The sequence below is a fragment of the Homo sapiens genome, chromosome 4 (genome assembly GCF_000001405.40).
Source record: "Homo sapiens chromosome 4, GRCh38.p14 Primary Assembly".
In the NCBI taxonomy this organism is placed as follows: Eukaryota; Metazoa; Chordata; class Mammalia; order Primates; family Hominidae; genus Homo; species Homo sapiens.
Genome location: NC_000004.12, coordinates 112,195,257 through 112,220,487, shown reverse-complemented (window position 1 = coordinate 112,220,487; position 25,231 = coordinate 112,195,257). Strand labels below are relative to the sequence as shown.

Sequence of the window (25,231 nt, the reverse complement as noted above, 5' to 3'; positions counted from 1 at the left end):
GTTCAACAGTGACAGCAAAAAAGAAAAATAGGTATCTGCTATCTATGGAATCACACAGCTATGGCATTTACTATGGTTAAGACATTGAAATCCTTTCCCACCGGTTGGTAGATAGCTGCTGCTCCAAGCCTTCTGGAGCATCCTTTTCTCATAATGTCAGCCACTAGCCTTTCCCATAGGACCCTCCCTCCCAGCTCTCAAAAATCCAACAACTGAAAGGTTGATGCTTGGCACATAAAGAGGCTTCCAGGACCTTGCGCCAGCCCTGTGGTTCGTGTCTCCTTTGATTGGCTAGGCCCTGCCCGTCTGTCAAATCCGGCCTCCTAGCGAGCCCGCAAAGGACTGTCCTATTTCTTCTCTGAGTCTAGCACCTGGCCCTTGGGGAAATGGGTGCTCTGTGCACCACTTGGAGTTTGTGCAGGTTCCTGCCAGCCTACAGGCCTGCAAGCCAAGTTGCTGTCTATCCGATGTGCTAGCTCTCATCAGACAATGTTCTCCTGGCCAAAATGAGCATATATCTTACTGATAGCAGCACTTGTACCCTGTAGGCAAATGCCCAATACCAGGCTGGCTGCCTATCCAATGCTGTGGCCAACTGCTGCAGGTTACACTCCTTGGATTAATCTTTGAGTGGCCATCATGGGAATTGTAATCTTCTTAGGACTTTGAGAAAGCCACGGAGAAACAGAAAAAACAGTTATCAGCCAGTAATGGAAAACCATTCAGGTAAACCTAACTAATATCTAAACTAATATAGATAGCTAAAATCAGTTTCTGTTGCTTGTAACCACATACACTGATACACCCCATGCCTGTTGCTCTTCCAGTGTCTCATTTCCCAGGGAATGCTACCACTACTTACTGGCTGTGTGACCTCAGGCAAACTACTTAACTATTCAGTTCTTTAATTTCCTCATCTGTAAAGTGGGGATAATAAAGGAATCAACATGAAGCAATGTTGTGAGGATTAAATGGGTTACTATGTGTAAAACATGTAAAACAGTACCTGGCAGGTAGCATTACTATCTAAGTGTTGACTTTTAAGATTTTGAGTCAATTATCAGTTTTAGGATCAGGCATCACTTTTTCAGGGAAGGCTCCTCTAACTTCCTGAAGTCAAAAACCTTTATTCTAGGCTCTTTCCCACCTTTTCTCATAGCACCAGTCACAGTCATAATTTTACATTGATTTATGTAATTGCTTTTCTTAACCTAGATATTGACTACACAGGTGTTCACTGTATTCTTTTACTTTAAGCTGTACATATATATTTTTAAATTTTTATCAGATTTTTACACATTTTACTAGGGAATAATTGACATACAATAAGCTGCTCATATTTAAAGTGGACACTTTTATAAGCTTTCAAATATGTATGAAACTGAACCAATAGTCCCATAGACTGTTCTTTTGGATAAACATAGAAATTGACCATTTTGTTCTTAAAGCTTGAAACTCATATTTGTTTTATCTGAGTTCTTTCCTCAGGAAACAACATTCAGGCCTCTCAAAAAGGCACCAAAGAACTGAAACTCATCAGATCACGGCAGCAGATGCAGGACCCCCTCACTCACCATGATTGGCCCGTCCTAGTTGTTGTTTTCTTACATATTGTTACATTTCTTCCCTGCTAATATAAACCCCTGGTTTTAGTTACTCAGGGAGATGGATTTGAGACTGAGCCCCCATCTCCTCAGGTGCAACACCCAATTAAAGCCTTCTTCCTTGGCAACACTTGTCTCAGTGATTGGCTTTTGTGCAGTGAGCAGTAAGACCTAGACCAAACCCCTGGTGTTTCAGTAATATGTATACATTTGTGAAAATATCACCACAACAAAGCCTATCAAAATTTTATTTCCTGTAGAGCTCAAAGCCTTTGGAAATATTTTTCTTGTTGTTGGAGTACTTTTTCCAAATATAGTTTCAGACAAGATCTTTATGTGATGAATGTTCTGATGCCTTGTGTGACTGAGAGTTTCTGGTTCAGTCACACACCGATATAATAGTTTAGTTTTATGTAAAATTCTAGATTTAAAATTATTTCAATTCTTTGAAAAGATTATTCCATGTTATTGTTGCATGCCAGTTTTATTATTGTATCTTTTATGTGATTATTTGACTCATGCCTTTACCCACAACTAGACTATAAACTCCACGAAGGCAGAAGTCATGTTGTTTTTGCTCAATCTTGTACCTGAGTATCCAGCACAGTGCCTAATAGGTGCTATTCACATTTGTTGAGGGCCAGGCATAGTGACTTATGCCTGTAATCCCGTGCTTTGGGAGACCAAAGCAGGAGAATCACTTGAGACCAGGAGAATCACTTGAGACCAGGAGTTCAGGGCTATAGTGAGCTATGATCATGCCATTGCACTCCAGCCTGGGCAACTGAGAAAGAGCCTGTCTCTAAACAAACAAAACACATCATTGAATGAGAGTTAGTGGGAGGCAAGACTAGAAAGATATTTGGGATAATGTTTTGGATGGCCTTGACTGCCAGTTGGAAGAACTTACATTACATTTTGTAAGCAATAGATTTAGAGAAAGTTGTAAAATTGTGTAGTGACATAATTAGAGCAGCACTTTAGGAGGCTTTTCTGAGAGCAGTATGTTGGATATATTGGAGTAGGGGAAACCAATTACAGTGCCATAGCAACAATGTAGAAGAGAAAAATGAAGGCATTAATTCAGATGCTGGGTATGGGAATTTGAAAGTGAAGACATATTTGAAACAGGACAGAACTTCACAGGGGTTGCTGAACCTGTCTAGATGATTTCTAAATTTCAGCTGTGGATCAACAGAAATAGGGAATTTCAGGTAAGTTCTGAGTTAGGTTTTAAACGTCTTTTGTTTAACATGCTGTTGGAATATTCGTATCACGATAAACAGGAAAAAGCTGAAAATTTGTCTATAGAGCTCAGGACATAGGTCAAAACTAGAGAAATGGTCTATTTTTAAATAGGGCTGGTCAACTCTGTGTTCATGAGTATCAAGCCTACTGTCCACATTTGGATGGCACACAAGCTAAGACTGGTTTTTACACTTTCAAATGCTGGAGAAAAAAAGAAAAAACAAAAGAAAAATAATGTTTTGTGCTGCGTGAAAATTATATGAAATTAAAATTTTATCATTCCCAAATAATTATATTGGACCAAAGCAACGGTTATTCATTTTCTTAATGTCTATGTCTGCTTCTGTGCTACAAGAGCAGAGTTGAGAAGTTGCTTTAGAAACTGTATGACTTGCAAAGCCCAAAATATTTACAATCTGCCCTTTTACAGAAAAAGTTTACCACTGTGTACACACATTGCTGAGTTGTCAACTGTTGTCATTTTTTTATAAGGCAATTTGGCCAGAAAGGAGAACAAAAAATAATAATAGCTGTATTAAAGTAACAAAATGATGGATTTTTCCCTTCCCAAATTCCTTCAAGTATTTTGATAAGACATGTATAGTTTTTAAAAAAAAAATCTATTCAAGTATTTTAAGCTAAAGCAAATGAATTTACTGTTTGAAGAGTGAAATTCCAGGCCTATAATAAAAATTGGAAACTTCGTTAGGTCATACCAAGCAAAAGCTTATATAAGTAAAGCTGACTATAAAGTGTGTTGGGGAGCAAGAAACTAGATTCCACTTGTTCAGCCGTAGGGAGGAGCTGTGTCATAGACAGATCAGTCACTTCTGGTTAAAGGTTCAGGTGTGTGCTAGATTCAGAGGCACAGGAATTCAATTTATCCGTCTCCCAGGAGTTGACTTTTGAGCACAATTTTTCCCAATAAGAAAGGCCTGTTGGTATACCAAAGAGTTGTGTGGTAGGTATGAAGAGCAAATGGGCTGAGTTGAGGCTGTGAACAGTTGTCATTTAACTAGGATAGCTTCTTAATATAGGGACATAATTAGTCTGACCAGAGAGCCTGAATTGGTTAATCACAATACCTTCTGCTATAGATAAAGTAGATAAATATTGACAAATCATTGCTCTTTGGTTCTCACATTTTACACCCCATATTTATCATTATTCTTCAGTTATTGTAGAATGGCACTGTTGTAGACAATAATAAATATAAATAATAAACTATTCCTAAAGTTATCATTATATTTACTCTCTTTGATAAAATTAAGGAGCAGCATGGTCTTTTTGATGGAATTTGGAGAACACGCTAATATTATCAGTACCATTTGAAAAGTTAACTCAGAAAGTGACTTTTATTAATCTCTTTCTCTCTAAATTCTGAGGAGTTCATTATTTTTAGGAATTATGTGTTCAACTTATTGTGGGTACTTATTATATTTTGTGATGATTCTTTAGCTGCTTTGTCAAAAGGTGACAACTTTTTTCTTTCCCTTTAGCATGGTCAAATGACAGAGGTAAGGAATGTCACATCATAAAGCATACAAATTTATAGGGTTTGAGGTATATGGATTTTTTTTTCAGTGTATAGAGTGACTTGAAATATACTACAATATTTTCTGTGGTAACTTTTTAGCACATATTTTCTGATAGAATATAAGATGGAAGCTGGAATGGCACAATAGTATGCTTTCCATTTCAGACATATCAAGTCTGAGGGGTCAATGAGAAACAATACGACAAAGTCCAGAAATCTACTGGAAATGTGAAACTACACTGTGGGTAAAGGTGAGGCCTACAGACACTAGAGTTGGAAGTCAGGGCAGAGCAGCAGATGAAGTCAATAAGAGAATATGTGGAAATGGAAGAGAGGCCATGTGGTGTGAAGGGAAGATATATAAAGTATCTGCCATAGTGCTTGGCATGTGCTGTGCACCTTATACATGGTAGATGCTAACAGTGGATCTGCAGCTGAGGAACACTGGGATTACATAAAGGAAAAGAAGCCAGTGAGAGTGAATGTAGCGACATTTTAGGATATAAGGTAAATATACAAAAATCAATTATATTTATCTATGTACTAACAGTAAGCAGTTTAAAATAGAAAATTTAAAAATACTATTTACAAAAGAAACAAAAACCATGAAATACTTGGGATAACTCTAAATCAACTTCATTATTTTTCTCCTTTCATCTTCTATTTCTAATCCCATTCCCTCTCCTCCAGACACTAGAATTAATGCATGTAACATATGCCTTTACAATATGCTCTCCTAATACTTATTTGGACATATATGTATCCTTGAAAAAATACACAGTGGTCTTCCTGTGTATTTAATTTTTTTAATATAATTAGTGTAATTCTGGCCTTTTGTAATTTGGCCAATGTGTTCAGACAATTAAAAACTTACAAAACAAACAAAGTAAAACAAGACACAACCCCAAGAAGTTCAGGAAGTAACTGACAATTACTATATTGGAAGAAATAGTCATATACTTGTTATTTTGTTTCTATTATACTCCCTGGAGGCATTTGTTTTACATTTTTGGGGGGGAATTAAAGCTGTTTAAAGAATTTTCTTTTTTAGTGCTATACTGAGAAGTAATGGCAATATAGTTTTTGTCTTTTGTTTTTTTGGTGGTTTTGTTTGTTTTTGTGTTTATTTTGAGAGCTGGGATTCAGTTCTGAGGATTGCCTACAGGAAGACAATGCAGAAATACTCATGGACATTTCCATGACATATTTAGGAAGAGCTGCCACCTGCAGGTAAAAAAATGAAATAAATGCACTGGGCCTTTTTTTTCTTTTTGAATGAATGGAATTCATTATCACTACTTATTTTTCTTTATTTAAAATAATCTTGCTCCCTCTTTCTCCTGCCAATTTATGAATCTTTCCTGCCTCTCCTTTTCTTAATTCCCAATTCTTTCACTTTTTCTTTGGAAGAACATCATTCTCCTCACCTCCTTCATTCAGTCTACCTTCTACTCCACCAAAGACACATATGACAAGATGTCTAAAATACAGTGATTAATTTAGGGATTTAGTTTTAGTTTCAGTTTTCACACTTAGTATGTTAATGGCCCTAGGCTTTGTCACACATAAAACATTATCTTAGATTTTAGCCTCCAAACATTAGGAATATGCTTATTTGATTCTTTTTTTCTTGCTTTCATAGTTTTTTTTAAGTCTTACATTCAGCTTTCAGAAGTATCACTTTAGAATGGATTCACTATAAGGTCATAAACTTCTTTTATCATTTCTCTTAATCTCTGGGTTTTTCTGAAATTAAAGCTCTATCAATTCTTTCTTAAAGTTGTTTTTTTACTCAAGGCTATTTTTCTTTTGGTCTACAGTTAGATCACAGCTACCTGCATGAGGCTGCACTGACTGGATTTAAATATTCTAGTATTAGTTTCTATTACTTGTTTTTAAGTGGAAATAGCTTAATTTCCAATTAAAAATTTGTTCAAGACCTAAGAGAACTGTACTTTTACATTTGTATTGCTACATTTAAAATGAAGCAATATGTGTTAGTCACCCCTCGGTACGGTATGCTGACTAAAAAGTTGATTTCCGCATTTTAGTGGCTTAAAATAATAAACATTTACTTTTCATTCACAACACAATCCACTATTAGGACACCCTCTTTCTTCTTGTAGCTGTACCAGCTAGAACATGTGTTGTTCAAGGTTGCCATTGCAAGGAAAAAGAGGGATAAAAAAAGGCAACTTAGTTCTTAACTCTTTTATCATTTATGTGACATTCATTACTACCACTTACATTTTATTGGCCAAAAATTGTCATAAGTCCCCAAAGGAAGGCAGTGAAATATACACAAGCACATGGATATGTGATGAGAATTAGTAATCTTTATCACAGTACTTTTCTTGTTAGTCTTTGACTTTTTCTCACAGAGAGTAATAATATATGAAATGGAGAAAAAATTTTGAAACAAAAGAATTACAATCCGATCATATAACTTTCAAAATTAGTAAAGTAAGATTCAGAGGCAAATTAATACATATATTAGGCTTATTTTTAAAGCATAAAGTATACTCATACGAATCAACTTATTTTAAAGGGATTTGTAGAGATTTTAAAATACATCCACAAATTCTTTGCCATTCCTCCCTTCTAAAGGTGGAGACTGATTCCTCTCTCTCTGAGTATGGGCTGCACTTAGGGACTCACTTCTAATGAATTGAGTATGGTGGAAGTGATAATGTGCAGCTTCCAAGATGAGATCATAGAATGCTTTGTGGCCTGCTCCTTGCTCTCTCTTTCAGATCACTGGCCTGGGGGTGGGGCGGGAGCCAGGTGACAAGTTGGGAGGATACATGAAACAGCTCTATGTGCAATGAGGAACTGAGGCCTACTGCCAATAGCCATGCACGTGAGCCTTTGTAGAAATGGATCCTCCAGTTTCAATCAAGGCTGTGAATGCCTGCAGCTCTAGCAACTTCATGAGAGCTCCTGAGCCAGAGCCACCCAGCTAAGTGGCTCTTAAATTCCAGATTCACAGAAACTGAGATAATAAAATTTTTATTTTTAGTCACTATGATTTGGGGTAATTTGCTATGTAGCAGCAGATAACTAATTCAAGGTTATAAGAAAAGTCTATTTTATTGGCATAAACATTTTGAAACTGACCCAATAGTCCCATAGACCAGGGGTCCCCAGCCCCCATCCATGGCCTGTTGGGAACCGGGCTGCAAAGCAGGAGGTGAGCTACGAGTGAGCATTACCACCTGAGCTCCATCCCCTGTCAGATCAGTAGCAGCATTAGATCCTCTTAGGAGTGTGAACCCTATTGTGAACTGTGGATGCCAGGGATCTAGGTTGCATGCTTCTTATGAGAATCTAATGCCTGATGATCTGAGGTGGAACAGTTTCATCCCACAACCATGGCCCTCACTGTCTGTGGAAAAATTGTCTTCCACGAAACCAGTCCCTGGTGCTAAAAATGTTGGAGACTGCTGCCATAGATTGTTTTTTTCATAAACATAGAAATTAACTGTTCTGGTCTTAAAGCTTGAAACTTACATTTATTTTATCTGGGCTTCTTCCTCCAGAAGTCCTCTTAAAAAATGTGTCAAAGAACTGAAACTCACAAGATCACTGCATCCAGACAATGAGATGGCAGTCCCTTCATTCATTATGATCACTTCCTTACCCCTCCCTAGTTGCTGTTTTCTTATACATTGTTACATTTCTTTCCTGCTATATAAACGCCTAATTTTAGTTAGTCAGAGATGGATTTGAGATTGATCTCCCATCTCCTCAGCTGTAGCACCTGGTTAAAGCCTTCTTCCTTGGCAATAATTGTTGTCTCAGTGATTGGCTTTATGAGCTGTGAGCAGCAGGACCTAGACAGAATACCTGGTGTTTCAGCAACAATTTCCTATTGAATGCTAAACAAAAATATTTTAATTAACAACTTTTTTCTTTGTTTCGATACAGGGTCTTGCTCTGTTATCCAGGCTGGAGTGCAGTGGTACAATTATGGCTCACTGCAGCCTCAACCTCCCAGGCTCAAGTGATCCTCCGACTTCAGCCTCCCAGGTAGCTGGGACCACAGACTTTTGCCACCATGCCTGGCTAATTTACATTTTTTATTTGTTGTAGGGCTCTCACTATTTTGCCCAGGCTGATCTTGAACTCCTGCACTCAAGCGATCCTCCCGCCTCAACCTCCCAAAGTGCTGGGATTATAGGCGTGAGCCACCATGCCAGCCTTAATTAACACCTTAAAATGAAATTACATGAATATGCCATGTGTGTAGGGGAAGAAAAGAGAAATGAGGGGTTCAGCCCCATTCAGTGATTTTATTGTCCTCTTATTATACTATATTAACAACCAAATAATTACAGAGAAAACCCCAGAGAATTTAGATGTTTTCATTGAAATCTACCAATAAAACATAGAAATTTAATAACTGCTGTATATGCCCAACATTAAAAAAGGATTCCCATTTTTAGATTAGTCATAATAAGGTATAATTTATAGTAATTAAAATACAGACTTCTTGGTCAGTGTGTAAAGGAAGGAAATATGTTCATGGCTATGAGAAATCAGATTTTGATCATACATAAGCTGCTAGTTACTTGCTGTAATGAGTCTAATTTGATATTTAGGGTCAGATTGTTGTCAGTTTTTACTGCGTGGTAGTTCAGGCTTGGTGGTAAGATGTCTAAAAATGACCAGAACCACTGTCCTATTATAATGAAAATCTGTAAAATAATCAAATTTGCTTTTATTTATGTGTCACATTACCTTTCTTTTTGATAGATTTCAAAGTAAAACTTAAGAATTAGTATATCATGAAGATATTTTAAATATGGTCTGCATTGATTAGTTTTAGTATGCTATCAAGTAAGTAATATTAATAATATCATGAGCTCCCAAAGAATCAGCTCACAGGATGCTTGTACCCATGAGTCAATAAACTTGATCATATTGATACCCTGACCTTAGGCATGCAGTTCCTAATGAAATGAAAAAAAAAGATTATTGATATATAATTTACATACCCATATAATTCACCCCTTTAAAGTGTACAATTCAGTAGCTTTTAGTATATTCACAAGATTGCACAACCATCACCACAGTCTAATTCCAGAACATTATCATCATCCCCCAAAGAAATCTGGTACCCTAGCAGTTACTCCTCGTTCTTCCCTCCCCTCAGTCCCTGGCTACCCATAATCTATTTTCTGTCTCTGGACATTTTATATAAATGAAATTATGCAATATGTGACCTTGTGTATCTGTGTATCTGGACTCTTTCACTTAGCATAATGTTTGCAAGGTTCATCCACATTGTAGCATGTATCAGTACTTCATTCCTTTTTTTTTTTTTTTTTTTTTTTGGCACGGAGTCTTGCTCTGTTGCCCAGGCTGGAGTGCAGTAGTGCAATCTCGGCTCACTGCAAGCTCCGCCTCTTGGGCTCACGCCATTCTCCTGCCTCAGCCTCCCAAGTAGCTGGGACTACAAGTGCCCGCCACTACGCCTGGCTAATTTTTTGTATTTTTAGTAGAGACAGGGTTTCACCGTGTTAGCCAGGGTGGTCTCGATCTCCTGACCTCGTGATCCTGTGTCCAGAAATGGTTCCTTCCGGTGGGTTCTTGGTCTCGCTGACTTCAAGAATGAAGCCGTGGACCCTCATGGTGAGTGTTACAGTTCTTAAAGATGGTGTGTCCAGAGTTTGTTCCTTCAGATGTTCAGATGTGTCTGGAGTTTCTTCCTTCCAGTGGGTTCATGGTCTCGCTGACTTCAGGTTGTCAGTGGCCTCAGTGCTTTCGGGCTATGCCCTTGTTTACACTGAAAACAAGGTGGTATTGGAGTGTTATAGGGTTACAGAGAAGACCTTCAATTATCAATTATAGGTTTTAAATGTACCCTGGCTTTTAAAGGAATGGGGTACACTGTTTTTTTCTTTACTATTTCCATTTCTCTTTCTCTTTGACTTCTTCGTCTCTCTTTTCCTCTCTTTCCTTCTCTCTTTGACTCTTCCTCTCTTTCCTTCTTTGACTTTCTCTCTCTCTGTCTCTTCCTCTCTCTGTCTCTCTCTTTGACTCCTTCTTTGTCTGTCTCTTCCTCTCTGTCTCCTTCTCTTTGTCTCTCTGTTTCTTCCTCTCTCTCTCATTCTCTGATTTTCTGTCTCTTTCTCTCTTTCCTTTCTGCTGCCTCTGCCAGCTGCTTATGCTGCTATTCTTCCCTCTCCATCCCCTTTTGATGGCTTCAGCAGTGTAAGACTGCCACCTCCTTGGGTTTTTGCACTGCGTGCAATAACTCCATGGTTTCTTTGTGATATTTAATGGGGGTTCCTCCAGAGGTTAGGAACTCCCTTTCTTTCCATATTGCAGCATGGGCATATAGGATTAGATAAGCATACTTGCTATCTGCATACACATTTATTCTTCTTCCCTTTCCCAGTTCTAAGGCTCGGGTAAGTGCCACTAGTTCTACTAACTGGGTGCTGGTCCCTGGGGGAAGAGGCTTGCTTTCAAGTAGTATTACATCACTAACTATGGCATAACCTGCCCTTCGTATCCCATTCTCCACAAATGAACTTCCATTGGTATATTAGGTTAAGGTCAGGATTAGCTAAGGGGACTTCTTAGAGATCCTCTTGGGCGGCAAAAGTCTGGACTATAATTTGTTGGCAGTCAAGCTCGATTGGTTCCCCATCCTCTGGGAGAAAAGTGGCAGGGTGGAGGGCCACACACGTGCGTATTTGAAGCACTGGTCCCTCAAGGAGTAGCGCCTTGTATCTAAGTAGGCAGTTGTCTGATAGCCATAAACTTCCTTTGGCACCTAGTATGCCATTTACATAATGAGTAGTCCAGACAGTGAGATCCTTTCATTGTATTATTTTGATAGCCTCTGACTCTAAGATGGCCACTACCGCAACTACCTGTAAACAGTGAGGCCAGCCTTTTGCTACTATATCAATTTCCTTACTTAGGTATGCCACTGGTTGTGGGGTTGTCCCATGAGTCTGAGTAAGGACTCCAAGAGCTATTCCTGCTCTCTCTGTGATGTATAAAGAGAAGTTTTGTCTCATGGGAAGGTTTAAGGCTGGAGCTTGAGTTTGTTCCTTCCAATGCCCAGATTTCAGGGTTGATTCCCTCCTCAAGCAGGGCACAAAAAATGGGTAACTTGTTCCCCATATTCATGTAGATAATAGCTCCAGCTTTGGGTAATATGTCCTTCCCTAATAAGGGCATGGGACTTTCAGGCATAACAAGAAAGGCATGTGAAAAGGGCAAAGTCTCCCAATTACAACTGAGGAGGTGGGAGAAATACCTGATTACAGGCCATCCCAGGATTCCTTGGATGGTAACGGACCTTGAGGACAGCTGTCCGGGACAGGAGATTAACACTGAGAAAGCTGCACCAGTGTCCAGGAGGAAGTCAATTTCCTGGCCCTCAATGGTTAAACATACCTGGGGCTCAGTGAGGGTGATGACATGAACTGGTGCTTACCCTGGGCACTCTCAGTCCTGTTGTTGGATCATCTGGTTGGGGGCTTCTGGCCCAGAGAACCTTTGTCCTCTGGGGCAGTGCACCTTCCAGTGATTGCCTCAGCATAATGGACATGGGCAAAGGGGCGGCTTGTTTCTTGTTGGACAATCTTTTTTTAAAGTGTCCTTGTAAACCACACTGATAACAAGCACTACCGGGTGATTGGCCTGCTCCATTTTCTGTCCTCTCTGAACCACCAAGGTTTGTTTGTCTGAGGGCCATGACTAAGGCTGCGGCCTTTCTCTGATCTTGCTGTTTCTTTTCAGCCTGTTCCTCTTGGTCCCTATTGTAGAACACTAAGGTTGCCAAGTTTAATAATGCCTCCAGATTTTGTTCAGGGCCCAGGGCTCACTTTTGGAGCTTTCTCCTGATATCTGTGGCTGATTGGATAATCTTTTAGGATCAATTGACCCTCTAGTGAGTCGAGTGACAGGGGAGTATATTTTCTTAAGGCCTCCCATAGCCGCTCAAGGAAGGCAGAAGGATTTTCTTCCTTTCCCTGACTTATGGTGGACATCATTGAATAATTCATGGGCTTTTTCCTAATTCTCCTTAGTCCTTCTAGAACACATGTCAACAGATGTTTATGACTCCAGTCCCCATGATCTGAGTCTAGATCCCAATGGGGATCCATACTGGGGGCATCTTGCTGATCGGTAGGGAATTTGTCCCTTTCTTTGGCTGTCATTCTATCATTTACTTGACTAAGATACCAGTTATCTCCAAACTCTCAGGCTACAGCTAAAGCCTCATTCTTTTCATTAAAGGCCAGGGTTTGATCTAACAGTAGCATGACATCTCTCCAAGTGAGATCGAAGGTTTCTCCTAGACCCTGTAGGACATCTATGAACCTATCAGGATAATCTGAAAACTTCTCCAGGTCTGCCTTGATCTGCTTTAATTCAGAGAGGGAGAAGGGGACATGTACCCGGGTTGGGCCAAATTGCTCTCCCACTACGGCTTGAAGGGGACATAATCGATAGCCCAGGGGTTTTTGTGGTCCTTTAGAGATTTCTTTGCTTGTTTCCTTCTGGGTGGGGGAGATTAGAGAAGGCTTATTAATAGGAAGGGGAGCTATAGGGAGGCTAGGATATGGGGGTAAACTGAGAGGTCCTCCTGTGGGATGTAGATTGCAAGCTTTGCATAGTTGTGGATTCACCTTCAATGATAAGAAAGCTTGGACATAAGGTACTTCACTCCATCTGCCTTCCCTCTTACAGAAAAGGTCAAGCTGCAGGATAGTATTGTAATTTATACTTCCCTCAGGTGGCCATTTTTCCCCATCAGAGAGAGAATATTGGGGCCAGGCCATAGTGCAGAAAAACAATGAGCCATCTCTTTTTCAGGGTTTGCAGGTCAAACTGGTCCCAATGGCTTAGGATGCACTTCAAGGATGAGCCTGTTGATGCCGGTTTCCCATCTGAAAGACAAAATCGCTGTGGTTTTGGTTTGTTTCTCCCCCTGCCCAAGAACCTGCAACGGTCCCTGGATCCTGCTGAATGGAATAGTTGCGCTCACCGACGCAGCAGCAGAAACATCCCTTGCTTCCTAAAGTGCTGGGATTACAGGCGTGAGCCACCGTGCCCGGACTTCATTCCTTGTTATGGCGGAATAATAATTATAAAGATATACCACACTTTGTTTAGCCTTTCATCAGCTGATGGACATTTGGGTTTTTTCCACATTTTGGCTATTAAGAATAATACTGCTCATAGCATTTATGCACAAGTCTTTGTGTGGATGTTTTCATTTCTATTCAGTATATATGTAGATATGGAACTGCTAGGTCATATAGAAACTCGATGTTTTAACTTTTTGAGGAACTACCAAACTGTTTTCCAGAGCAGCTGCATGATTTTTACATTCCCATCAACAATGTATTAAGGATTCCTATTTTGCCACACAACCCTTGTTATCTGTTACTGATTATAGCCAGCCTAGTTTTTGTGAACTAGTATCTCGTGATTTTCATTTTCATTTCTTAATGACTAATGATGGTGAGTATTGTTACAGGTACTTATTGGCTATTTGCATATTTTCTCTGGAGAAATAATAAAACCATTTTAAAACTCTCTCCTGTCATTTATTAATCCAAACATTAGTAGGGATAGGTATAAAAGTTTTAAAGCCTTTTTGTGTATGTAATTACAGTTTATTATTCTCATGTTAACAGCATCTGCTTCTCTATGGCCACTCTTGAGTAGTTAATGTATAGAAATTACTTATGCTAACCACGTTAGGAGTGCTGCCTGTCCAGTTTTGCACTTCCTAGACACCCAAAGATCCAAGGGTTGAGACTGCTTAGTTCAAATATTTGTAACAATTCCTACATGGGCTTCCTAAGATGTGAGATTATTAACAAAAGAAAGAATATTAGGTGAAAATAAACACTATATTTAATTTTCTATATTGTTGAGAAGTAAAATTACATGTAACAACTAATACCATACAGTGAGAATATTGATATTACTAATTTTAGTTATTTTTTGTTCATGCACTCACTATTTTTCCATGTTACTGGAGGAATTTTAAAATTTGAAGTTTTGTAATTATAAAATTAATACACATTTATTATAGAAAATTTGAAAACTATAAAAATACAAAAGAGAAAAGAAAAACAAATAGTCTGTTATTTTTCAGAGATAACTACTATTAATATATTGGTATGAGTCCTGGTTGTTACATACATGCATTTTAAAATTATTTACTTAATTTTTTAAGCTAGTTTATATATACACATAAAACAAAATTAAAAGGTTCAAAAGGGCATACAGTGAAACGTAAGTCTCTTTTTACATTGTGTCCCAGTTTTCCTACCCAAAGCAACCTCTATTGCCAGTATCTTGTATAATCTTTGAGATATAGGCACATATACACACATGTGCGTTTTAAATTCCTCTTTTTTAAGGCATTGATGAGAATTATAAATTGTGGATGGTTAAAGACAGTGGTCCCTCTTCTGGTCCAATATGGTTTCCTTGTCTTTTTGTGTTGTTCCCCTTTCATTGAGCCTAGTCCCCCTAATATTTTGCAGATTTTTCAGTCCCTTTATATGTTTCCCAAATTCTAGTATTGAATTTTTTACAAATGGTATTCCTAAGAAAGTTTACTTCTACAATATGTTCTATAACATTTCTAGTAGTTATACAAAAAAAAAGTTCATGGTTCCCTTAAACTCGCTCGGAGTACCTAATTTTGTACCTCCATATGGAAAGGAGAGGTATTTTAATTCTGTTTCTTTTGGCAGAAATAATAATTTTTTGATTGAGCTTTAGCTAATAATGGATTTTCATGTTTATTTCTGATTTCAGCTAAATTATAAACTCTGTAATAGTAATGACCAGGCCTTATACCTTGTATTTCTTATAGCACGCAATGCCAGCACTGCTCTGAAGACAGCAGATATTTAATAGTGTTTGTGGATTGAGTGATTAAATGGAAAAAGCAGATCTTCAAACCTTGCCAAGAAAGCAAAAAATGAAGCAAAAACAAAATAAAAATTTCAGTACAGAAAACAAATACCAAGCGAAATCACAAACTGTTTGTTCCCTTTGCAAGTGTCTGGATAACAAATAGGTGAGAAATTTTTAAAGTTCTATTTTATTTATAATTGACGCATAATTGTACATATTTATGGAGTACAGTGTGATGCTTTAATACATGTATACATCGTACCATGATTAAATCAGGGTAATTAGCACATCCAACAATTTAAACATTTATCATTTCTTTGTGGTGATAACATTCAAAATTCTTTCTAGCAATCTTGAAATATACAATGCATCATTATTAGCTATAGTCACACTACTGTGTGATAGAACACCAGAACTTATTCTTCCTGTCTATCTGCAACTTTGTACCTGTCGGTGAACATCTCTCCATTCTCCTCTCCCCTCAAGGAAATTTTTACTTGGAAAAATTATTGAAAAAAGCAATACGAACTTTAAAAAAATCCGTATTCTTTTTTTTTTTTAATTGTAGTGCTTAAAAAAATTCTACGCAAGTTTACGTGAGAGGAAATGAAGAAAGCAGTGATGGGGCTTGGCGAATACACAATTGCCGTTAGACTTAAGCAAATAACTTGGGATCTGTGCCAAATTATTTAGTTTCAGCTACTATATCCAATTCTCAGGCTGTCCAGAATGTGGCAAAGCCCAGTTGAGCAGGACTGCAAGGCACTTTGGATTATCACAGGGGGAAGAATTAAGATTTAAGAAATGGGACATTTGGCCGGGCGCAGTGGCTCAGGCCTGTAATCCCAGCACTTTGGGAGGCTGAAGCGGGTGGATCACGAGGTCAGGAGATCGAGACCATCCTGGCTAGCACGGTGAAACCCCGTCTGTACTACAAATACAAAAAATTAGCCGGGCCTGGTGGCGGTCATCTGCAGTCCCAGCTACTCGGGAGGCTGAGGCAGGAGAATGGCGTGAACCCGGGAGGCGGAACTTGCAGTGAGTCCAATTCGCGCCACTGCACTCCAGCCTGGGTAACAGAGCGAGACTCCGTCTCAAAAAAAAAAAAAAAAAAAAAAGGGACATTTGGCCCTGCTGTTTATTTGGTTGGTTAGATTAAAATAGGCGTTATTGCCAGCTTGAAGGAAAAAAACAAAACAAACAAACAAAAAACCAGTATTGCTCCAGCAGATGCCCCAAGAGGGCTTCAGAAGAACTTGTCTTGGCCTTGGTTTGGAATTGCTCCTCTCCTACCCAGCTTTCTGTTATGTGGGTAGTGAAAGAGTGGCAGGCTAGGGAACTCTCTGAAAACTATTTCCAGATATTTCAAAATTTCAACTTTTAAACTAATCCTTGGTATGCAAACAGTTGAACAAATAACAGTACACAATTAGGTTCAAAGTAATAGGTAGTGATAAGAAGCTCTCATTTCAAATAGTTTTCAACCTTTGACTGACCTTTCCGTGACATTAAGCTCATTTTCCTAACAACAAATTATGACAGAGTATTTGGAGTACTTCAGGCCCCCATAAACCAGGTGCAGTCTAAAGAAAACAGCTCAATATCTGGGCCTTATTACCTTTTCCATCATCCAGGCATCACCGGATTTCCCCATCTGTGATCAGGCCTGATCACTCATGCAGTTTTTATGGTAGCAAATGAAAATAGTTTGGAAATTTCCATCTCAAAGGCCAATACTTCATGGAAAACCTTAAGAAGCGTTTTATTCATTACTAGAAACCTAGTTTATTAACATTCTTAGTATGTATTTTTGCAGTTCTTTTATATTTCATTGAATAGTTATCTTTTAAAAAACCATTTTTCTGCTAGGAAGGGAACAGGTAAAAGGGAGAGAAATTTAATGCACTGAATGTATAAAATAGCATGGGTCAAAAACTATAATATTTCATTATTACCTTGTACATGGACTACATTCTAGAAGATAAATTAAGCAAAAATGATGAAATGAAAACATATGCCTATCAGAGATCACCACTGTCAACACCTTACTATGTCTCCTAGAAAATATATGTAAACATTAAAAATATATAAACATAAGAATGCATAACAAATATAAATAAATATATATATTTAACAAAAGTCAAGATGTTTTTTAACCCTATCCAATAATGTTTTAACTCTTTGAGAGTTAGACTAAATTGACATTTACAAATAGAGAAATCAAGGCACGATGCAATTTCTAGAGGACAGGAGTCAAGTATAGACTACAAGTGACACAATTTTTTTCTTGGTTATGTCACCTGTTCAATGTACAGATCTTCTGCATAATCACTATTGGATGGCTAGAGTTGCTGACCTTCAAAAAATGATAGAGAATATATGGGACATATTCAGGCAGAAATGTTTTCAAATTCACATAAGCCAGAAGAACTCTTAGTGAGAGGGCAAACAGGCGTTGCTGTCAGAAGAAGTTATCAAGCCTGTAGAGCCTTACACTCCAGAGAATACCCAGAACCTGTTATTTTCCCCTGAGGAGGACCTCTGGTGATATGCAGATATATTAAAGATGCTCTGTGGTTGGGCATGAATGCAAATGGAGGTTGCCAGGCTGCAGGACTCATCTCTACATGCTTCCTTTCCAGGGTCCTCTAAAGGCCACAGAGCCGTATTAATATCAACCTGAGATGTCTTTCTGGAAAGACTTTCTAAGATGTTTCCAGCCTAAGAACTCTCTTATGGATTGACTGGCTCTGGGACCAAGCATGTTTTGGGGTTGGTGGGAAAATGAAGCACTGTTCCAGGCTGGTCTGTCCTGAGCAGATCAGAAGACTCACTGGTGGTAAGGCTCTTCAGAGCCAGAGGACTCTATTGCAGTCACAACTGTATGGTGAACACATGTGATAGTAATAACTGAAGCATACCCTGAGAATGACCGTGTATGGCAGATGCACCTGAATGCATGTTCTGAGCTGGGGAATCTGGGTGTGGCCAAAGTGAAGATTTGTTCCTTTTCTGTGAGGAACATCTGAGCTCCCAGCCCATCTTGTGGAACACAGGCCATACGGAGGTCCAGGTCCCAAGTTTTGAGCTGAATGAAGGTTGCCAGCTGGAGGTCGTTAGGAAAAGAATGCTAAGTGAAAATGCTAAACCACCTGCCTTTTGTAAGCAGTTGCAGTTCTCCTGCCTAGCCTGCTGCTACTAGATTCCTTCCCCTGTATGTAAGCCCCCAATAAAATGTATGTCTCGTTTGCTGGCTCTGGTTCTCTTCTTCAGCTTCTTGAGCCTGGTGCCATTCCCAGTGGCATCCACAGGGGTTCAGGCACAACAACAGCTTGTCAACTTCTAGGGTATTTTGGAAATATCCTGGGAGTCTTCCTGGGATTCACAGATGGACCAAGGACCCCACACCCAGGAGGAACTTCTAGGAGTATATGTCAAACTCAAAGACTCTTTTGGGTGTGAGCTAATTGGTTTGTATTAGGACATTTAGATTCCTATCCTTTCTCCCTCACCTAAGAAATTATTAAACATAAATAAAATGCTCACATGAAATTCTCCCTTGTTAATTTCTCATGCAATAATTTATTTATATCACTATAAACTTGTAGATATTTATTTTAATATGTTTGATATGTCATAGAGCGATAATTTTTCAAAGGAGTATTAATGTGAATTTTATACTGCTGCTTTGAAATGTATAAAAAGAAGAGGGTGAAAAAGTCATTAGAAACTTATGTTGTCTCATAGCGCAAAGGAATATTTATATAGAAAAGGAGATAATATGTGGTTACTGACATGACTAACGGTTAAAGTGGAATTTGTTAAAATTATTATTATTTTTTTTGAGGCGGAGTCTTGCTCTGTCACCCAGGCTGGAGTGCCGTGGCGCGATCCCAGCTCACTGCAACCTCTGCTTCCCGGGTTCGAGCAATTTTCCTGCCTCAGCCTCCTGAGTAGCTGATATTACAGGCGTGCGCTGCCACGCCCAGATAATTTTTGTATTTTTTTTTTAGTAGATATGGGTTTTCACCATGTTGGCCAAGCTGGTCTCGAACCCCCTACCTCAAGTGATCCACCTACCTCGGCCTCCCAAAGTGCTGGGATTACATGCGTGAGCCACTGCGCCCGGCCTAAAATTATTTTTAAAAAAAGTATTTAGTAATGCAGATAATTAAATTTTTGCAACAGAAAAGTTGCAAAGATTATAGAGAGGGTTCCTGTCTATCCAGCATACAGTTTTTCCTGTTGTTAATATCTTATGTCTACGTTCATACTTACAGTACATTTGCTACAACTAAACCAGTATTGATACATTATTATTAATCGAAGTCCATATTTCTTTTAGAATGCGTTACCTTTTCCTAATGTTCTTTTTCTGTTTCAGGATCCTATCTAGGATACCACATTACATTTAATCATAATGTTTCCTTAGTCTTCGCTGGTTTGTGACAGTTTTTCAGACTTGTTTTTGATGACCTTGAAGGTTTTGAGGAGTACTGCTCAGATATTTCATAAAATGATCCTCAATTTGGGTTTGTCAGATGTTTTCCTCATGATTAGCCTGGGGTTATGGTTTCTGGAGTGGAAGACCACAGATATAAAGTGGCATTTCCATAACAACCTATCAAAGGTATATGCTATCAACATGACTTATCACTGATGATACCAAGTTTGATGACCTGGCTGAAGTAATATTTGTCAGGCTTCTCCCCTATCAAGCTACTCTCCCTACTGCCTTCAATTCTGTATTCTTTGGAAAGTAATTCTCATGGATTAGGGAGTTGTGCTCCACCTACCTGAAAGGGCAGTATCTATATAAATTCTTTGGAAATTCTGTGTAAGATATTTGTCTATTCTCCTTTATTAATTTGTTTATGTAATCATCTATTTCTATCAGGATAAACTTGTGAATATTTATACTTTGGGTTACAATTCAATACTACTTTATATATTTTGTTGCTTAAATTGTTCCAGCTTTGGTTTTTTGGAAACTCTTTCAATTGTTGTGCTCTCTCTCTCTCTCTCTTGTGTGTGTGTGTGTGTGTGTGTGTGTGTGTGTGTGTGTGTATGAGAGAGAGAGAGAGACAGAGAGAAAGAGAGAGAATGTTTTAGCTTTCTTTACTTTCCAGGCTCATCTTTCACTTTCCCTGTCTAGCCCTAGAATCAGCCATTTCTCCAGGGAACCTTGATTACCCTTATTACAGAATGGTATTAGAAACAAAGAGATGGGTGCTGATATGCTAGTGGGGGTGGTGGTGTTTCTAGACCATGTCAATTTGGAAAGATATGAGCAGTATACTAACCCCTTGTATACATACATAGCTATAATTATTTCTGTATTTATTCATCTGTATCTATATTAAGCCAAAGATGAATTCATTCTGATGTCCCATGCTCTATATTTAAAGAAAAAAGTTAGCAGCAGATGGTGTGTCATAGAGTTGCATTTCAGTTTGAGAATTTACCAGTGCCACTTTTCCTGGTATGAACATTTCTGAAAGTGATTGATGAAGAGAAATGACTCATCTGGTAAAGAAAATAGTCCCACTAGCAGTTTCTTACTTGATTTGGCAGAAATGAAGGAGCACCACCTAGCATCAGTAAATGGTGCCAGTAAAGCACCTGTAATTTAAAACAAATTTTATAGCCCAGGTCTTTTTGTTTCTAAGTCTTTCTGCCATTGCAAAAATAATGTCTTCTTTGTTAGCCTAGGGCTTTTGCAAGCCAAGATAGTGGAAGAAAATCTGTCTCATCGACAGTCAGTGATATGGTAAGGGAAGAAAAAGCACAGTATATTTCCATTACAGAGAGGTGATTGTGAAGATCAGGTATTCAGGAAAGGAGTTCTCAAGAAATGTTTCTCACAATTTGAAAAATGGAGAAATGCCTGGAGAACTGTATGGGCCAACATCAGCTCTATCTGAGCATCTTATAAAAATATCTGAAAGCATAAATTGACAGTTAAGGAAAATGTGGGAGAACCAGTTTTGAAGTGTACTAAGAGATGGCACTAAAGATATGCCATAACTTTTCATAAACATCTGATTTGAGAAACTTCCACTTTTCAGGTAGGGAGAAATACTTGAAAGAAAAGGAAATATGAAAGGGAAGTCCAGGAGGGAACAATGTAACTGAAGGTTTGCTAAAATAGAAAAAGACTAATTAAAATCATAATATGCATGTAGCATGTTTTCAGACTAAAAAGATAAGACTTTATGAACATATTACTAATACATATTAATCCATATTAATCACCATTCCTGGCTTATATTATCTACTTTTATATAGAATGTATCCATATGTTTTGATGTGGGCTGGATATTTTATGTGAGAGTACTAATATAGGGTATACATTTTGAATACAGGTTATTCTGGGTATAATTATATTTATCTTGGTCAAACATTTTTAAGTGTGTATTGACAATATAGCACAGACAAACAAATTAATTTGAAATTTCATTTTAAAACCAAAGCAAGATACATATTATTCTATAAACATACCCTAATAGTATGTTTATGAAATGCAGGAAAATTTAGAGCTAAGTATTTTCAGAATTGATATCATTTTGAAAATGTTTAAACCCACAGCAGAATCGTGTGTGAATTGTTGAGTGTGGTTCTGCACCTAAGTTTTCCAAGGCAAAGAGGCAACAGAAAGTGCATGGTATTGTGGCAAATAGAGGCTTCAAGAAAACAATGCATCTTGTTAAAGAAGGTATGGTTGCACAAAGCACATTTTATTTCTGTTCATTAACTTGTTGGCTTATTCCTTATTTTTATGATCATTTTAACTCATGAAGCACTCATAGTAGAAATAAAAGATTTCACAAAGATTTCAATCATGAGTGATTGGGAACAGAAGAGCAGTGTAATAGAATTCCCTTGTAGTTATCTTTTGTCAACAATAAAATAACTAAACCTTTTGTGGCTCTCACTATATGAGCTTTCCATGGGTAGTGAAGAAGGTCATCTCATTTATCATGTGTGAATGTTTAATGATAATGACCAGCATTTATTGAAAGCTTGCTATATGCAAGGCACTATGATAAGATACCTAGTAACTTATGCCGTCTTAAAAATTACCTCGTTTTACAGATGAGGGACTTGAAGTTTAAAAAGATGTATTACTTGTACAAGTTCTACACCGAGTAAATGGCAGAACCAAGTCTTAAATTCAGGTCTGACATAAAGAGTATCTTTTACCTGGAAGTTTGTTTGGACATTATTCTAAAATTTTCCTATAACCGAAGAGGAAAAGCATGCCTCAACACTACTGTAGTTTTTGTGCATAACTGGGTTGGGGTCATTGTCTTCCTTGATCATGCCCACTCCTAAGACTCTATTAGGGAGCCCCCAAAATATTCTGGACTAAGACTGGAGAAAGCTCTTGAGTGCTTACTGATTCACCAAATCTGGCTTATGAGACCCTATGTTCTAAAAATAAATAGAAAAGTCAGGATTAGAGCCAAATCTCCAAGTCATACATCAGTTCCAATAGTGCTTTGGGGTGGGGGCACAGCATATGATTTCTTTGAAGTGAGTTCTTTTCTGCCATTGAAAATCTTATTTCGAACATGCTCCAAAAGTTTGAGGATTAAAACTGCTTTGGGAACTTGGGGAGGGGGCCAGAAAGCACAAATCAGAGTTCTGGAAAGACTTACCTACGTCTGTGCTTGAACCTATCCAGCTCCCATGACATGCCCTAATGATGGTTTGTCCTGATATCTTGTGAGGCCCCATCTGGCAGACTTATTAGCTTAAATACTGGTCTATGCAGTTTATATGTACAAAATGTCATTGACTTCCTACTCCTAGCTTTAAGTAATGGGCTTTCTTGTCAACCATTTTTTTTTTTTTACCTATTCCTAACAGAGGCAAGCCATTTTTTGCTTCTGGACATACTGTTAAGTCAACTAAAGCTTTATCATAACTGAATACCGAATCTTATGGTAGAAGCTAGGCAACACAACAGACTAAAGGTGTAGGTATTCCCCCAGTTTTTTTTTTTTTTTTTTTTTTTTTTTTTTTTTGAGACGGAATCTTGCTTTGTCGCCCAGGCTGGAGTGCAGTGGCACGATCTCGGCTCACTGCAGACTCCGCCTCCCGGGGCCGTTCTCCTGCCTCAGCCTCCCGAGTGGCTGGGACTACAGAGGCCCGCCACCAGGCCCGGCTAATTTTTTGTATTTTTAGTAGAGACGGGGTTTCACCGTGTTAGCCAGGATGGTCTCGATCTCCTGACCTCGTGATCCACCCGCCTCGGCCTCCCAAAGTGCTGGGATTACAGGCCTGAGCCACTGCGCCCGGCCAGTATTCCCCCAATTTTTAAGCCATCTTAGTCAATGAGTTTATGATTTAAATCAGTGATTTTTGTATGGTACTCTGAAGACTAAGGTTTTTGAAAGTGACTGAGGTACCATGGAGGACAAGATAAGAAAAGAATGGACTCTATAGTAGATGCTACATTTTGCTGCTCAAATCCTCCCTTCAGAACCAAAGGATTTATTTTGATAGCTGCTGGGAGTGCTGCTTGATAATCCCCAGCTGTCAGCTCTCCCTGGGAATTGCTTTTTGCAGGAGAGAGCTGTCTTCTCTCACCATGAAACAACTCTAAAGGACCATCCTAGCTTCAAAGCACCCCATAGAGTTGTGGCCCTGTTGTGACCGTATTGCTTAACCCCCTCTGTCCAGTCTTGCATCTTTTACTTCCCTTACAGGTGCCAATCCCAGAGCACTCTCTAGTATACTTTCTGCATGCTAATTTCTTCCAAGTCTGCTTCCCAGGGAACTTTGACCTACAGTAAAATCAATCATAGCAGCTCTTTTATCATATAAATGATATTTAGGTATCCTATATGTGATATTTGTGTAAGATTTTATGTAAACTAAATTTAAAAATCTTTAAAAACCACTGGTCTATTAAACAAATGCTTCACCTCATATGAAAAATCATCATTAGAGTTTTGTGAAAGATGAATTTATTTAGGTTCATCTCTCCAAAGTAATACCCAGGGAGGGTGTTTTCCTTTTGTACCTGTTTCTTCTTAACCTTTATTTATATGTTCTGTTTACATACATAACTCTTGTGCCCTTTAAAACAGAAAATATATTAAAAAATTATGACTTAGGGTCCTTCAGAAGTAGCCTGCTGTGGCTACCTGGTGCTGTGGCCTCATGGAAAAACTAATCATGACTATTTTTAGAATTTTATACCTAAAAAATGAGGAAAACATTAACAGAAACAATCATGACAGACCAGAGAAGGGCATTCAGTAGATGGTACATATTTTCAAATATGGATAATGTCATTACATATCCTGCTACTCCCAGAAAAATCTTTTAAAGTGTTTGTCTTAACTGTGGTATTAATAAGTACATTGTATATAAAATTTTCTTACGTTAAACACCTCACATTAAAAATAGACTATAAACTAGCCTCTTATAATACTGGGGGAAACCAATAGCAAAAAAGGTCCATGGTTTTATGATACAAGTTACTGTATTCTATGGTGTTTTGGAAAACTGGCAAAGAAATTTCCAACTAAGTCAATTAAAGATTAAATGATAAACTTTAATTGCTGAAAAGATAACTCAAATTTAATAAACATAAATATGTTTTGGATCGCTAGCAGGCTTCTGCAGAGTTTATTCGATAATTCTAACTTACACAATAGTCAAGCCAACAGAAAGAAGAAAAATACAGCTTGGAGGCAGAGGTTGGTCTTGATCTTGGTTTTCCCACTTCTCCTTTCCTGGGAAGCCATACATGTCATGTCTTGGCATTCTGTTCCAGCAATAGGGATAAGGAAAAAAGATAACCTCTGTTCACCCTCAGATGTTTGTTGTTGCTTTGGTCATTCCAAACTGGATGTGGCAGCCATTAACTGGTAAGTAGAACATGTGATAGGGAGTTGGAAGAGACACTCAGAAGGCAGAG

The 25,231-nt window shown here is 38.3% G+C and overlaps 1 annotated feature.

Annotated features, from left to right (window-relative positions):
* Window positions 6,961-7,255: a silencer, noted in NCBI's record as "tiled region #3285; K562 Repressive DNase unmatched - State 24:Quies". NCBI's record gives its function as "represses a minimal TATA promoter and a strong SV40 promoter by Sharpr-MPRA in K562 cells {active_cell/tissue: K562}" and the evidence as "EXISTENCE:reporter gene assay evidence [ECO:0000049][PMID:27701403]".